The 14,586-nt window shown below is 49.2% G+C and overlaps 1 long non-coding RNA gene across 1 annotated transcript, besides 1 other annotated feature; it reads left to right on the top strand.

The window, feature by feature from the left end:
• Positions 457-958: an enhancer, noted in NCBI's record as "H3K4me1 hESC enhancer chr15:22538563-22539064 (GRCh37/hg19 assembly coordinates)". NCBI's record gives its function as "activates a minimal SCP1, AML or CMV promoter by ChIP-STARR-seq in naive H9 embryonic stem cells {active_cell/tissue: H9 hESC(naive)}" and the evidence as "EXISTENCE:reporter gene assay evidence [ECO:0000049][PMID:30033119]".
• On the top strand, positions 959-13,941 carry LOC101928039 (uncharacterized). The gene is made up of 3 exons (XR_008485582.1): positions 959-1,099; positions 11,842-11,974; positions 12,976-13,941. It is a non-coding gene; the product is annotated as an uncharacterized LOC101928039 (long non-coding RNA).
• The last annotated feature ends 645 nt before the right edge of the window (positions 13,942-14,586 follow it).

Here is a 14,586-nt window from a genome sequence, read left to right as displayed (position 1 = left end):
GGTGTGCATACATGTGGCATGTGCTGTGTATACGTGCAGGGTGTGGTGTATGTGTGTGGTGTGTGGCATGTGGTGTGTGTGGAGTGTGTGTGTGTTCTATGTGCTATGTGGTGTGTATATGTATGCCTGTGGTATGTGTGGTGTGTGAGGTGTGTGCATGTGTGTGGCATGTGCTGTGTATGTGTGTGTAGTGCGTGTGCTTGTGTTTGCAACACAGACACCCCCACCTGAGTTTGGTGCAAGCAGCACCTTGTAAGAGAGCAATTCTGACAGTCACTGCCACAGTGGCCGCCTTGCCTGGAGCTGGCCAAGTGGAGGCGGAGGCAGGGGCTTAACACCGGGGCTTCCATCATGAGCGAAGCTGGTGCTGGCTGTTATCATTTGCAGGTGAAACAACTGGGGCAGAGCGGTCACTTGCAAAGGACAGCCCGCCAGCCAGGGACAGAGCTAGGGCTCAGGCTAGCAGCCTCACGGTGCCTCTCACCAAGCCTGGCCAGGCTAAGGGTTTTGGCACCAAAAACAGGAAGGGCAGAAGTGCCAGGGGACAAAGCACTTTCATGCCTCATTTAGCCCTGGTGACATGCTTTAAAATCAATAGATCATTATCCTTACCTGGCCGACGGGGAAATCAGGCCCTGGGGGAGGCCAGCAGATACCAGCAGGGCTAGGACTTGAACCAAGTTCTCCCGATCCCAAATCCCACTGCCCCGTCCCCTCCAGAGCGGCTGTGGGTCAAGGCTGGGTCTGGATGGTGACTCTGGCGAGGAGGGTCAAGTGGACCAGGTTCCTGAAGCCTCACAGCTGTGGCTGGTGTCCCGGATGCTGACGCCTGTTGAGACCTGCTGGTGGCTGGGGTTTCATGTCCTCATTTCCCTTGGCCCGCACAACAATCTTGCCAGTAGAACATTCTTCCCCTTTTACAGATGAAGAAACTGAGGTTTAGAGAAGCCACTTGCCCAGTGTAGACAGCGAGAAGGACAGGTCCAGGTCTGCTTGATGATGAAGCCTGTGTCTTCTTTGCTGTGTGATCCTCATCACGTTAGGGGATTCCTGAGGAAGCAGAGGATTTTGCCCTTGCATTTGAGCCACAGCAGCTCTAGTAAGTACATGTGTGTGCATATGTAGGTCCTGTGTTCCTATTGATGCTAATATGTACAAATTGCATATTAATATATATTAACATGTATTACTATATAATAATACATATCTGAAAGCTGGCTTCAGCTTAAGACTTTGTTTGAGAGTGGTTTGGGGGTTAACACTTTTTTAACCTGCTGGTCCACATGTCGTACGTATGATTCCTTGCACATATTTGAGTCTTGGCATGCCTGCTTCTTTTCTCTTACCCAGGGATGGCTCTTCACTAGGAGGCTGGCACAGAACCATCAGAACGACCACTGGTGTAAGACACAGTAAAGCCCCCCCATGTGTTCCTGTGGAAGCTGGCCATGCCAATACACATAAACCAGAGGCTTAATTAAATTCTCAGCTCCTTGAGAGCAGGAGTCAGGGCTGAGGCTGATTAAGTTTGTCACTTTGGATTTCCAGCTCCAGATGGGTACCATGTATGCAGTTGGTGCTTATTAACTGTTTGCTGGTGGTCTTTCTGCCTTTTTTTTTTTTGAGATGGAGTCTCACTTTGTCACCCAGGCTGGAGTGCAGTGGTGCGATCTCAGCTCACTGCAACCTCTGCCTCCCGGGTTGAAGTGATTCTTCTGCCTCAGCCTCCCCAGTAGCTGGGATTACAGGTGCCCACCACCAGCTAATATTTGTATTTTTGGTATAGAAGGGGTTTCACCATGTTGATCAGGCTGGCCTTAGACTCCTGACCTCAAGTGATCCACCCGCCTTGGCCTCCCAAAGTGCTGGGATTATAGGTGTGAGCCGCTGCGCCCGGCCGAAACCATTGAGTTTTACAAACTTCAGTGCCAATTTCTTACAGCCCTTGGGGTGTGGCCTGGGTTGGACTCTAATGAAGAGAATTGAATCTCCCAGTAGTCAGCTGGCATCTTAGCATACACTGAAGTAGGGATTGACATTTTTCTATGAGGACAGGCTTCAAAGTCTTGCGAGCTTCCTTGCTTTCTCCAGGGAACTGGGAAAGAAAAATTTACGGGATTTATGCTGTCTTCTGGGTAGGAGTGTAAGTTCCTGTTGCTGCTGTAACAATAATTACCACACAATTAGTTGCTTAAAACAACACAAATTTATTCTCTTACAGTTCTGGAGGCCAGAAGTTCAAAATGAGTTCCATGAGTTTAAAACCAAGGTGTCATCAGGGCTGGTTCTTTTTTTTTTTTTTTCTTAAGACCGAGTCTCACTCTGTCGCCCAGGCTGCAGTGCAGTGGCATGACCTCCGCTCACTGCAAGCTCAGCCTCCCGGGTTCAAGTGATTCTCCTGCCTCAGCCTCCAGAGTAGCTGGGACTACAGGCACCCAACACCACACCCGGCTAATTTTTTGTATTTTTAGTAGAGACTGGGTTTCACCATGTTAGCCAGGATGGTCTCTATCTCCTGACCTTGCGATCCTCCCGCCTTGGCCTCCCAAAGTGCTGGGATTACAGGTGTGAGCCACTGCGCCTGGCTAGGGCTGTTTCTTTCTGGAGGCTCAGAGGGGAATCTATTTCCTTGTCTTTTCCAGTTTCTAGAAGCTGCCTACAGTCCTTGGCTCATGGCTCCTTCTCTATCTCCAAAGCGCATCACTCTGTCCTCTGCTTCCACAGTCACATCCCCTTCTTTTACCTTTGAACTTCTTGTCTCCCTCTTTTCTTTTCTTTTTTTTTTTTTTTTTTTTTTTTTTGAGACAGGGTTTCACTCTGTCACCCAGGCTGGAGTGCAGTGGTGTGTTCACAGCTCACTACAGCCTTGACCTCTTGGGGCTCAAGCAATCCTCCTGCCTCAGCCTCCAAGTAGCTGGGACCACAGATGTGTACCACCATGCCTAGCTAACTTTTTAATTTTTTGTAGAGACGAGGTCTCCCTATGTTGCCCAGGCTGGTCTTGAACTTACTCAGTATCATGAGAACAGCATGGGGGAAACTGCCCCCATGATTCAATTACTTCCCACCAGGTCCCTCCCACAACATGTGGGCATTATGAGCTTACAATTCAAGATGAGATTTGAGTGGGGACACATAGCCAAACCGTATCATTTCACCCCTGGCCTCTCCCAAATCTCATGTCCTCACACTTCAAAACAGAATCATGCACTTCCAACAGTCTGCCAAAGTCTTAACTATTCCAGCATGAACCCAAAAGTCCAAGTCCAAAGTCTCATCTGAGACAAGGCAAGTCCCTTTCACTTATGAGCCTGTGAAATCAAAAGCAAGTTAGTTACTTCCTAGATACAATGGGAGTACAGGCATTGGGTAAATGCACCCATTCCAAATGAGAGAAATTGGCCAAAACAAATGGGCTACAGGCCTCATGCAAGTCTGAAATGCAATAGGGCAGTCATTAAACCTTAAAGTTCCAAAATGATCTCCTTTTACTCCACGTCTCACATGCAGGTCACGCTGATGCAAGAGGTGGGCTCCCACACCCCTCCCAGCTGCTTTCGTGGGCTGGCATTGAGTGTCTGTGGCTTTTCCAGGCGCACAATGCAAGCTGTTGGTAGATCTACCATTCTGGGGCCTGGAGGATGGTGGCTGTCTTCTCACAGCTCCACTAGGCACTGCCCCAATGGGGACTCTGTGTGGGGGCTCCAATCCCACATTTCCCTTCTGCACTGCCCTAGCAGAGGTTCTCCATAGCAGAGAGCTCCACCCCTGCAGCAAATTTCTGCCTGAACATCCAGGTGTTTTCATACATCCTCTGAAATCTAGTTGGAGGTTCCCAAACCTCAATTCTTTCTTTTTTTTTTTTGGAGACAGAGTCTTGCTCTGTTGGCCAGGCTGAAGTGCAGTGGCATGTTCTCAGCTCACTGCAACCTCTGCCTCCCGGGTTCAAGCAATTCTCCTGCCTCAGCCTCCCGAGTAGCTGGGATTATAGGGGTGTGCCACCACACCTGGCTAATTTTTGTATGTTTAGTAGAGATGGGGTTTCACCATGTTGGCCAGGCTGGTCTTGAACTCCTGACCTCAGGTAATCCACCCACCTCGGCCTCCCAAAGTGCTGGGATTACAGGCGTGAGCCACCGTGCCTGGCCCAGACCTTAATTCTTGACTTCTGTGCACCTGCAGGCCCAACACCACATGTAAGCCGCCAAGGTTTGCGGCTTGCACCTTCTGAAGCAATGGCCTGAGCTGTATGTTGGCCCCTTTTAGCCACAGCTGAGATGCAGGGCACCATGCCCCAAGACTGCACAGAGCAGCAAGACCCAGGGCCTGCCCCTCGAAATCACTTTTTCCTCCTAGGCCTCCGGGCTTGTGATGGGAGGGGCTGCTGTGAAGTTCTCTGACATGCCCTGGAGACACTTTCCCCGTTGTCTTGTCAATTAACATTTGGCTTCTTGTTACTTATGCAAATTTCTGCAGCTGGCTTGAATTTCTTCTCAGAAAATAGGCTTTTCTGGCCAGGCACAGTGGCTCATGCCTGTAATCCCAGCACTTTGGGAGGCCGAGGCGAGTGGATCGCCTGAGGTCAGGAGTTCGAGACCAGCCTGACCAATCTGGTGAAACCCTGTCTCTACTAAAAATACAAAAATTGGCCAGGCGTGGTGGCAGGTACCTGTAATCCTGGCTACTCAGGGGGCTGAGGCAGGAGAATCGCTTGAACCTGGGAAATGGAGGTTGCAGTGAACCGAGATCATGCCACTGCATTCCAGCCTGGGCAACAGAGCAAGACTCTGTCTCAAACAAACAAACAAAAAAACCCCAGAAAATAGGTTTTTCTTTTCTATCACACTGTCAGGCTGCAAATTTTCCAAACTTTTGTGCTCTACTTCCCTTTTAAACACACATTCCAATTCCAAACCATGCCTTTGTGAATACATAAAACTGAATGCTTTTAAGGGTATCCAAGTCACCTCTTGAATGCTCTGCTGCTTATAAATTTTTTCCACTAGATACCCTAAACCATCTCTCTCAAGTTCAAAGTTCCACAGATCTCTAGGACAGAGGCAAGATGCTGCCAGCCTCTTTGCTAAAGCATAGCAAGAGTCACCTTTGCTCCAGTTCCCAACAAGTTCCTCATCTCAATCTGAGACCACTTCAGCCTGGACTTCATATCACTGTCAGCATTTTGGTCAAAGCCATTCACCAAGTCTTTAGGAAGTTCCAAACTTTCCCACATCCTCCTGTTTTCTGAGCTCTCCAAGTCTCTAGGAAGTTCCAAGCTTTCCCACATTTTCCTGTCTTCTTCTGAGCCCTCTGTTCCAACCTCTGCCAGTTATTCAGTTCCAAAGTCACTTCTGAACTTTCAACTATCCTTATAGCAGCACCCTACTACCAATACCAATTTACTGTATTAGTCTGTTCTCAGGCCATTGTGAAGAAATACCTGAGAGTGGGTTATTTATTTATTTATTTATTTATTTATTTATTTATTTATTTTATTTATTTTTTGAGATGGAGTCTCACTCTGTCACCCAGGCTGGAGTGCAGTGGCACAATCTCGGCTCACTACAAGCTCCACCTCCCAGGGTCACGCCATTCTCCGGCCTCAGCCTCCAGAGTAGCTGGGACTAGAGGCGCCCACCACCACACCCAGCTAATTTTTTATATTTTTAGTAGAGATAGGGTTTCACCATGTTAGCCAGGATGGTCTTGATCTCCTGACCTCGTGATCCACCCACCTTAGCCTCCCAAAGTGCTGGGATTACAGGTGTGAGCCACCACACCTGGCCATTTATTTTTATTTATTTTTGAGATGGAGTCTTGCTCTGTTGCCAGGCTGAAGTGCAATGGCACGATCTCGGCTCACTGCAACCTCTGCCTCCTGGGTTCACACCATTCTCCTGCCTCAGCCTCCTGAGTAGCTGGGACTAGAGGTGCCCACCACCACGCCCGGCTAATTTTTTTGTATTTTTAGTAGAGACAGGGTTTCACCATGTTAGCCAGGATGATCTTGATCTCCTGACCTCGTGATCCACCCGCCTTGGCCTCCCAAAGTGCTGGGATTACAGGCGTGAGCCACCATACCCGGCCTGGGAGTGGGTAATTTATAAAAAGAGGTTTAATTGACTCACAGTTCCACAGAGCTGGGGAGGCCTCAGGAAACTTAAAATCATGGCAGAAAGCACCTCTTTACAGGGTGGCAGAAGAGAGAAAGAGTGCCAGCAGGGGAAACACCAGACGCTTATCAAGCCATCAGATTTTGAGATAATTCACTCACTATCACAAGAACAGCATGGGGGAAACTGCCCCCATGATTCAATTCCCTCCCATGGCGGGTGGGGATTATGGGATTACAATTCAAGAGGAGATTTGGGTGGGGATACAAAGCCAAACCATATCAGCCACCATGCCCAGCTAATTTTTTTTTTTTTTTTTTGAGAGAGAGTCTCACTCTGTCTCCCAGGCTGGAGTGCAGTGGCGCAGTCTGGGCTTACTGCAAGCTCCACCTCCCGGGTTCACTCCATTCTTCTGCTTCAGCCTTCCAAGTAGCTGGGACTAAAGGTGCCCGCCACCACACCTGGCTAATTTTTTTGTATTTTTAGAAGAGACGGGGTTTCACCATGTTAGCCAGGATGGTCTCGATCTCCTGACCTTGTGATCCACCTGCCTCCGCCTCCCAAAGTGCTGGGATTACAGGCGTAAGCCACCGCACCTGGCTTTTTTTTTTTTTTTTTTGAGACAGAGTCTTGCTTTATCACCCGGATTGGAATGCAGTGGCATGATCTCTGCTCACTGCAACCTCTGTCTCCTGTGTTGAAGCAATTGTCCTGCCTCAGCCTCCCCAGTAGATGGTATTGCAGGTGTGGGCCACCATACCTGGCTAATTTTTATATTTTTAGTAGAGACGAGATTTCCCCCATGTTGGCCAGGCTGGTCTTGAACTTCTGACCTCAGGTGATCTGCCCACCTCACCCTCCCAAAGTGCTGGGATTACAGGCATGAGCCACTGTGCCCTGCCCTAATTTTTTTTTTTTTTTTTTGTAGAGATAAGGTCTCACTATGTTGCCCAGATTGATCTTGAATTCCTGGCCTTAAGTAATCCTCCCACCTTAGCCTCCCAAAGTGTTGGCATTAAAGGCATAAGCCACCATACCCTGCCAACATACGTAACTTAATCATATCTGCAAAGTCCCTTTTACCATGTGAGGTCACATCCACACGTTCTGGGGATTAGGACGTGGGCATCTTTTTGGGTGCCATGATTCAGTGCCACAGTGGGTACACAGCAAGCCAATGATGGGGGTAATTAAGTTAACATTAAATGTCCCATGAGTTCTATGTTATAGAGCAGTGATCATGTCCCTGGGGTGTGAGGTGATCCACTGAGGACCAGGAAGAAGAGATGAGATTATTGCTTAAGATTAAGCAAGAAATCAGGTTTTATGAATATTCACTCTGAGCTGACGCTGGCTCTCTGTACCCATGATGGTCTGGTCAGAAAAACAGAAAATGCACTGGTTAGTTTAGCAGAGAGAATTTAATATTGGTCATTGGTGGAACAAGGAATGGAGGACTAAAGAGGCAGAAGGGGGACCTGAGGTCACAGGCGGGGACACCCCTCAGTCTTGGTGGCACTGCGGTGGTGGCTCCTCAGCTGTCACCCAAGGGAAACTTGCAGGATGAATGGGAGTTTCACAGTGAAGTCCCATCGCCAGTCTGTTAGCTCTTTTTTTTTTTTTTTTTTTTTAATGAGACAGGGTCTGGGTCTGTCAATCCAGGCTGGAGTGCGGTGGTGCAATCTCAGCTCACCACGATCTCTGCATCCTGGGCTCAAACAATCCTCCTGCCTCAGCCTCCCAAGTAGCTGTGAAAAAAGGCATGCGCCACCACACCTGGCTAATTTTTATATTTGTTGTAAACATGGGGCCTCACTATGTGGCCCAGGCTGGTCTTGAACTCTTGGGCTCAAGCAATCCGCCCACCTTGGCCTCTTAAGTTGCTGGGATTACAGGTCTGAGCCACCACACCTGTGTGTTAGATCTTAAAATATGGCAACATATGTTGGTGAAGTATTGGCTTAGTAGAGTGGATCTGTAGCTTCTGGTACCTATCTTGTCTGGTTCTAACTAAATTCGATGTATGCCTTAAAAAGATTCATACAAAGGAACTGTGGAATGAAGGAAACACTAATAAGCCAAGCAGAGTAAAGAGTGAGAACGTATCAGAGCAGCTATCTTATTCCTGGCCTGAGCTCTTTATCAGACATATCCCAAGGTAAAAACAAAGGCAGCTAGCCAGTCAGTCCCACAGAGGACAGTCACACAAACCCTAGTTATCCAGAAGTCTATTCGAAGTACAGATTAGAAAATCCATCCCTGTTGACAATAATCCTCACCCCAAATGCATATTTTGCCTTGAGATGTAATGGAAACCATCATAATTAGCAAGACATTAAAAAGAATGTTGTTTGTTTAATCTTTTACTCGGCATTTAGAAATTTCCATTTTGGCTGGGCGCAGTGGCTCACGCCTGTAATCCCAGCACTTTGGGATGCCGAGGAGGGTGGATCACCTGAGGTCAGGAGTTCAAGACCAGCCTGGCCAACATGGTTAAACCCCATCTCTACTAAAAATACAAAAATTGGCCAGGCATGGTGATGTGTGCCTATAATCCCAGCTACTTGGGAGGCTAAGGCAGGAGAATCCTGAATCTGGGAGGTGCAGGTTGCAGTGAGCTGAGATCACACCGCTGTACTCCAGCCTGGGCAACACAGAAAGACTCCATCTCAAAAAAAAAATCCATTTTGACAGGAGTTTTATGATTATACATAAAATATGAGAGCAGCAATGCATATATATAATTCATAAGTTTTAAGATACACATATATGGTGGCCACCTGCGGGAAAGGTTTTGCCCATTAGGATCTATGATCTAAACACTTTGGAGACTCCTGCCCTGAAGAATTCATGTCTATGAGCTATCCAAAAACCCAGACCAGGCCGGGCGTGGTGATTTATGCCTGTAATCCCAGCACTTTGGGAGGCCAAGGCAGGCAGATCACTTGAGGTCAGGAGTTCAGGACCAGCCTGGCCAACATGGCAAAACCGCATCTCTACTAAAAATACAAAAATTAGCCAGGTTTGCGGTATGCGCCTGTAATCCCAGCTACTCGGGAGACTGAGGCAGGAGAATCACTTGAACCCGGGAGGCAGTGGTTGCAGTGAGCCGAGATTGTGCCATTGCACTCCAACCTGCACAAGAAGAGCAAAACTCCATCTCAAAAAATAAAAAAAAACTCAGATTAAACAATGATTATAGATGTTTTATGAAATCAATCAAGAAAGTTCATAAAGAGGATGACCACAATTTTTTTTCTGTCTGCAAGATCCGTATTTGTTGTGCTGTGCCACATTAATAATTACATAACAATTATATAATGTATATATCCAGGCCTTGATAATTGCCATTGTCTACAAGATGCTCTAGAAGTCCAAAGGGAAAACGAGCCTGAGAAAGTCCAATAGGGCTTCACAGAAAAGGTGGCATTTAATCTAGGCCTTGCTTGGAGCTGGAGAGTTCCACGTGGCTAGGGAGGCCTCACAGTCGTGGTGGAAGGTGACAGGCAGGTCTTAATTAATGAAGCTTTAAATGTTTTTTCACTGGGGCCAGGCATGGCAGCTCACACCTACAATCTCAGCACTTCAGGATTACTTTTTTTTTTTTTTTTTAAAGCAGAGGGTCTGTAACTTTCACCAGATTCTTAAGGAGTCTGTGACCTGGGAGACTTTTAAGAGTGGGAGAGCTGTGAGGCCATGCTCAGGCTGGATGCCAGTTGTGGGACCCCTCGCTTCACCTCTCTGAGCCTCAGCTTCCTCATCTGTGCAATGGGGCAGCCTCGCGGACGTGCAGGATTGCTGTTCTGGACAGGCAGAGCCTGGGATCCAGAGGAGCCCAGCGCCCGCCAACTGCAGCGCCCAGCACCAGCAACCCCAGCACTGGGGGCTGACTCCATTCTTCTCCCCAGGGCTACACCAGCTCTAGCTTCCTGGCCGCCAGTTTCCCCAGCAACTTCATTTTGTTTATTTGCAATGGCTTCTTGGGGTCTCCTGGAGAAAAGATTCTCAGCGGAGTTCCAGAAAATGAATGCACTCTGCCTGTGCTCGGAGAGCTCCCAGCTGTTCTCTTGGCTGGCCGGCTCAGAAGAAATGATGTTAGGAATGTTTATCTCAGAGGAAGCGGAAAAGCTCCTTTCAGCAAAATAAGAATGAACCACAAAACGAGGTGCAGGGGGCCTTGTCAAGACATCGTAGCGTGGTGCCATGGGAACATCCACTTCCTTTGTCCTGCCTCAGCTGACAGTGCCTCAGAGATGCCCTGAGTTACGTCAGCCAGGCTGGCATCCAAGGGGCTCCTTACTGGCTCACAAGACACGTTGCTTTTTCAGGACCAGAGAGACTTGGAGGTCCTCCCCTGCAGCCCCAAGCCTTTGTTTAGGCTGTGCTGTGAGGCTGGCTCTCTGTGGTCAGCATCTCAGTGTCCCTGCCTGGCCAGCAAAGGGGTGACATTTTCCTTGGGTGCCCTCTTGCAACATTGCGTTAAATTCTCAAAAAGGTGCAAACCCTTAGGGTGAAGTTTGTGTCTAGAATATAATGGTTAAGGGCCTCGGTTCTGGAGTCAGAATGACCAGGGTTTGGGTCCCGGCTCCATTGCTTTATAGCTGCCTGAGCCTCCATTTCCCAGTGTGTGGAATAGCTGGTAACCAGCATTCTTACTCCCATGGGTGTTGGAGACTTGAATGAGATCGTCATTACAAAGCATTCAGCACAGGTTAAGTGCTGATAGGCGGAAAGGAGATAATCAGTGGTAGAGATTATTATTTTAGTTGTCTGCTTATAAAATCAGAAAATGGGAAATAGAAAAATACAAAGAAGAAAGTGCATGTAGCCCCACGGCGCGGCGATCCGCGCCACTGGCCTTTTGTTAGCTGTCCTTCCTGTTTCTTTTTCCTGTGGGTGTGTATGCATGTGTATATTTCATAGGATCTGGTCATAGTTGAATGAGGATAGTTTATGTATGTATAGACATGTTAGTTTTTTCTTAATACCAGGCATAATATATCTTAACCCACTTTTTTAAAACTTAAAAATATATGGAGAACACATTCTCCAAATCATTACATTTTACCATATTGCATATTTTTTTACTTTGTAATGTTTCAAAGTAAGGATGTGTTTTAGAATCAATGTCAAAAGAAATGTGCCAGCTATTTCTTTTTTTTCCCCCCTAAAATGGGGGTTATGATGACACTGGTAATACAAATAACAAATGATGGCTTCTCAGATTCAAAGAAACACAGCAGACTAAAAGATCCTTCTTAAATTCCACAAAGGATTCCTCAGTGCCACTGTTGTCACTAACTCAATTGACCTCTATTTTTGGACATTTTGGCTCCTTCGGTTTTTTTTCACTATTACCCACCATGCCACACAATAGAGTCTGCAGGAAACGCAATTCAATGGGCCAACGGGCCCTGAGGGATGGAGGTGAGGTGGAAGGTGGAGGGACCTGAGAATTTCTGTTAAGGTCATGGCCAGCCTGTGCTGACCTTGTAGGGAGAAAGATGGGGGATAAGTATCCCAGCCTCCCTCCCCACCCTCCCTCACATCTCATGCCAGGGCTCCCCCAGTGGGAAGCAGAGAGGGTGAGGAAGGGGGAGGGTATGGTTCTCAGGCCAGCCCCTGGGCAGAGAAAGAGTGACCCTGGTTGGGCAGCCCTATGGCCCTGTGGAGCTGAGATGCCAGCTTTAGATGGGGGGACTTACAACACGGGCTTTCCCTTCCCCAGTGGAACAGAAGGCGCCGGCGAGAGGCCCTCCTTGTCAGCACCAGGGACAGATTGCTCAAGAATCTGTGTGCTCCAAGGCACAAGAGGGGTGCTGTCTCCTTTCCTGGAGTTCCGTCTCATGCCTACGTTTCAGGTAGGATGCTATTTTTAAGTGACTGGCACCATGGATCAGTACACTTGGAGGGAGGAGAGGGGATGCCACACATAGCAGGGGTGGGTGCTGTGAGCAGGGGTGGGGAGAGGAAAGGGGGCTGCGTTCGAGCCACTCTGACAATGAGGCTGAGGGCTGGCTGGCTGTCACACCCACGGCCGACATTAATCACATCCTGCCTGGCACTCCCCAGCAGCTCTGACACATGTGGCCGCACCCCACTTCTGGAAAGCTCCCTGCTCAGGCTCTGCAGAGCACTTCTCGCAACACTTCCCTTGCTGGATCCATGCCCCCAGCATGGATTCCTTCAGCCTGGCTCTGGCCAGGGGTGGGCTCTGAGCCACCATGGGACTGAGGCAGAACACACTGTACAATGCAAGGCTGAACACGCTGGGCCCCTTCGGGATGCTGGCGGTTATGTGGGCGGTGGGACGGGTGGGGTGACATGGAACACACCTCAGTCGCTCCTCCAGCTAGGGTTTTGGGGTTGCAAGCAACGGAACCTGGCTCTTGCTAACCATGTTGGGGCTGGACGCAAGGGTTTACGGGCAGGACCTGAGCTAGCTACAGAGTGGAGAGGTAAGATGAGAGCCAGCCCACAGGAAGGCCGGAGTGGAACAGTGTTGGGAGCCTGAAAGATGGGGACTAACAAGCAGCCTCTGGCTGGGAGGTTCTGCCGGGATCAGTTTCCTCCATGCTACAGAGGGGACTTGCTCAGGGCCACGTGGCTAATTGGAGGCATGGACAATCTCCGAACTCAGACCTCTGACGGATGCGGTCCTCTGACCAGTCTAAAGCTGGGTCCTCCCAGCTCAGTGACGCTGTCCTCACAGGAATGCCTAATGGGGCTTCCTCCCTGCCCATCCCAACCCCTGGGGCCACACATTGCTTATTTTGGATTACACCGGGCAGCCTGTGCCCCGGGCAGAGGGAGGGAGAGCTTGGGCAGGACTGGGGAGTGTGACTCATTTCTGTCTACCCAGCCAAGCACCAAAGGCGATGCTGGCAAGCGGGAGACGGTCCACAGCCACTCACCGGCAGCCAGAAGCCAGGCTCAGGACAGCGAGGCCTCAGCTTACACAGAGGCCACCAAAGAATGGCCCGGCAGGACAGGACGCCAAACCTCATTTATCTGAGCAGTGCAAGGCCGCCTGGTCAGTGTCCACTCCACACCCAGGCCCTCCTCTCTTTGCTGTGGCCACAGCAGATGTGCCAGCTGCCCCATTGCTGCACAACGCCAAGCCTCCATCCAACTCGTCCTGAACACCCTTCCCCCGTGTCCTTCCTATCTCCGTGAACATGGCAGTCAGAAATCCAATGCCTGGTGTCACGACTTCCCAGCTGTAGATCTTGGGCGAGTTGCATCCCTTCTCTCTGCCTCAGTTTCCTCCTTTGTAGCATGGGGATAAGACCTTCTTTACAGGGTTTAACAGCCAGGAATCAGGTGTGCAAAAGCGGAGGCATGGTTCATCACAGGGGCCTGCTGTGGCGGCTGTCCTCCTCCTAATAGCCACATTCCCCGGACCCAGCCTGGAGGAGTGTGCCATCCCCCGGTTTGCTCTCCCTCTTCCCGTCTCGGTGATCCAGGCCATAAAAAATGGCTCCTCCCAGATGCCATAAGATAGAAGCTGCATTGCCCTCGTGGCAGGAAGGGGACATTTGGGCTACTTCAAACCAAACCAAACAAAAAACTCACTGTCATCAATTCTTGCCTTCTAAAGGGAGGGGCACATTTCATCTTGGGGATGCTGGCCTGGGGATTCCACTTAGCCAAGAGCAGAGGAAACATCATTTCCAAGCACCAGCTAGTGCTCTGTGCTGCTAAAAGTCCCAGAGTATCCTGTCCTGGCTCAGTTGAGCCCCTTACTGAGCTCAGGACTCTTTTGGCTGCCAATGACAGAAATTCAACCTGAATCACTTACAACAAAAATAATGTATATTATATATTATAAAATATATATCAATATATAGATATATTTTTGAGATGGAGTTTCACTCTTGTTGCCCAGGCTGGCGTGCAATGGCGCAATCTCAGCTCACTGCAACCTATGCCTCCCAGGTTCAAGCGATTCTCCTGCCTCAGCCTCCCAAGCAGCTGGGATTACAGGCGCCCACCACCACACCTGGCTAATTTTTTGTATTTGTAGTAGAGACAGGGTTTCACCATGTTAGCCAGGCTGGTCTTGAACTCCTGACCTCAGGTGATCCACCTGCCTTGGCCTCCCAAAGTGCTGGGATTACAGGTGTGACCCACCGTGCCCGGCCGAGCAAAAATAATATCAATAGCTCACTTAACTGGAAAAAAGCCCCTGCAGGTGAGTCTAGCTTCAGGCACAACTGGATCCAGGGACTCAAATGATATCTCCCCTTCCCTCGGCTCTGCTTTCCTCCGTGTGGTGATGTCACTTTTTAGATATCTTCATCCACTTGAGCAAGGATGATAGTAGCTCCAGGCTCTGTGGCAGGTTGTGTATTCTAAATTTGGCCACACCAACATACGTCCCATCCACGTGTCGTTTGTAACCCTCTCAACCAATGGAAAATGTTGGAAGTGACATTCTATGACTTTTGAGGCTGGGTCCTGAAAGGCAATC

This window comes from Homo sapiens, chromosome 15, assembly GCF_000001405.40.
Source record: "Homo sapiens chromosome 15, GRCh38.p14 Primary Assembly".
NCBI lineage: Eukaryota > Metazoa > Chordata > Mammalia > Primates > Hominidae > Homo > Homo sapiens.
This window is presented reverse-complemented; position numbering and strand designations above follow the sequence as displayed.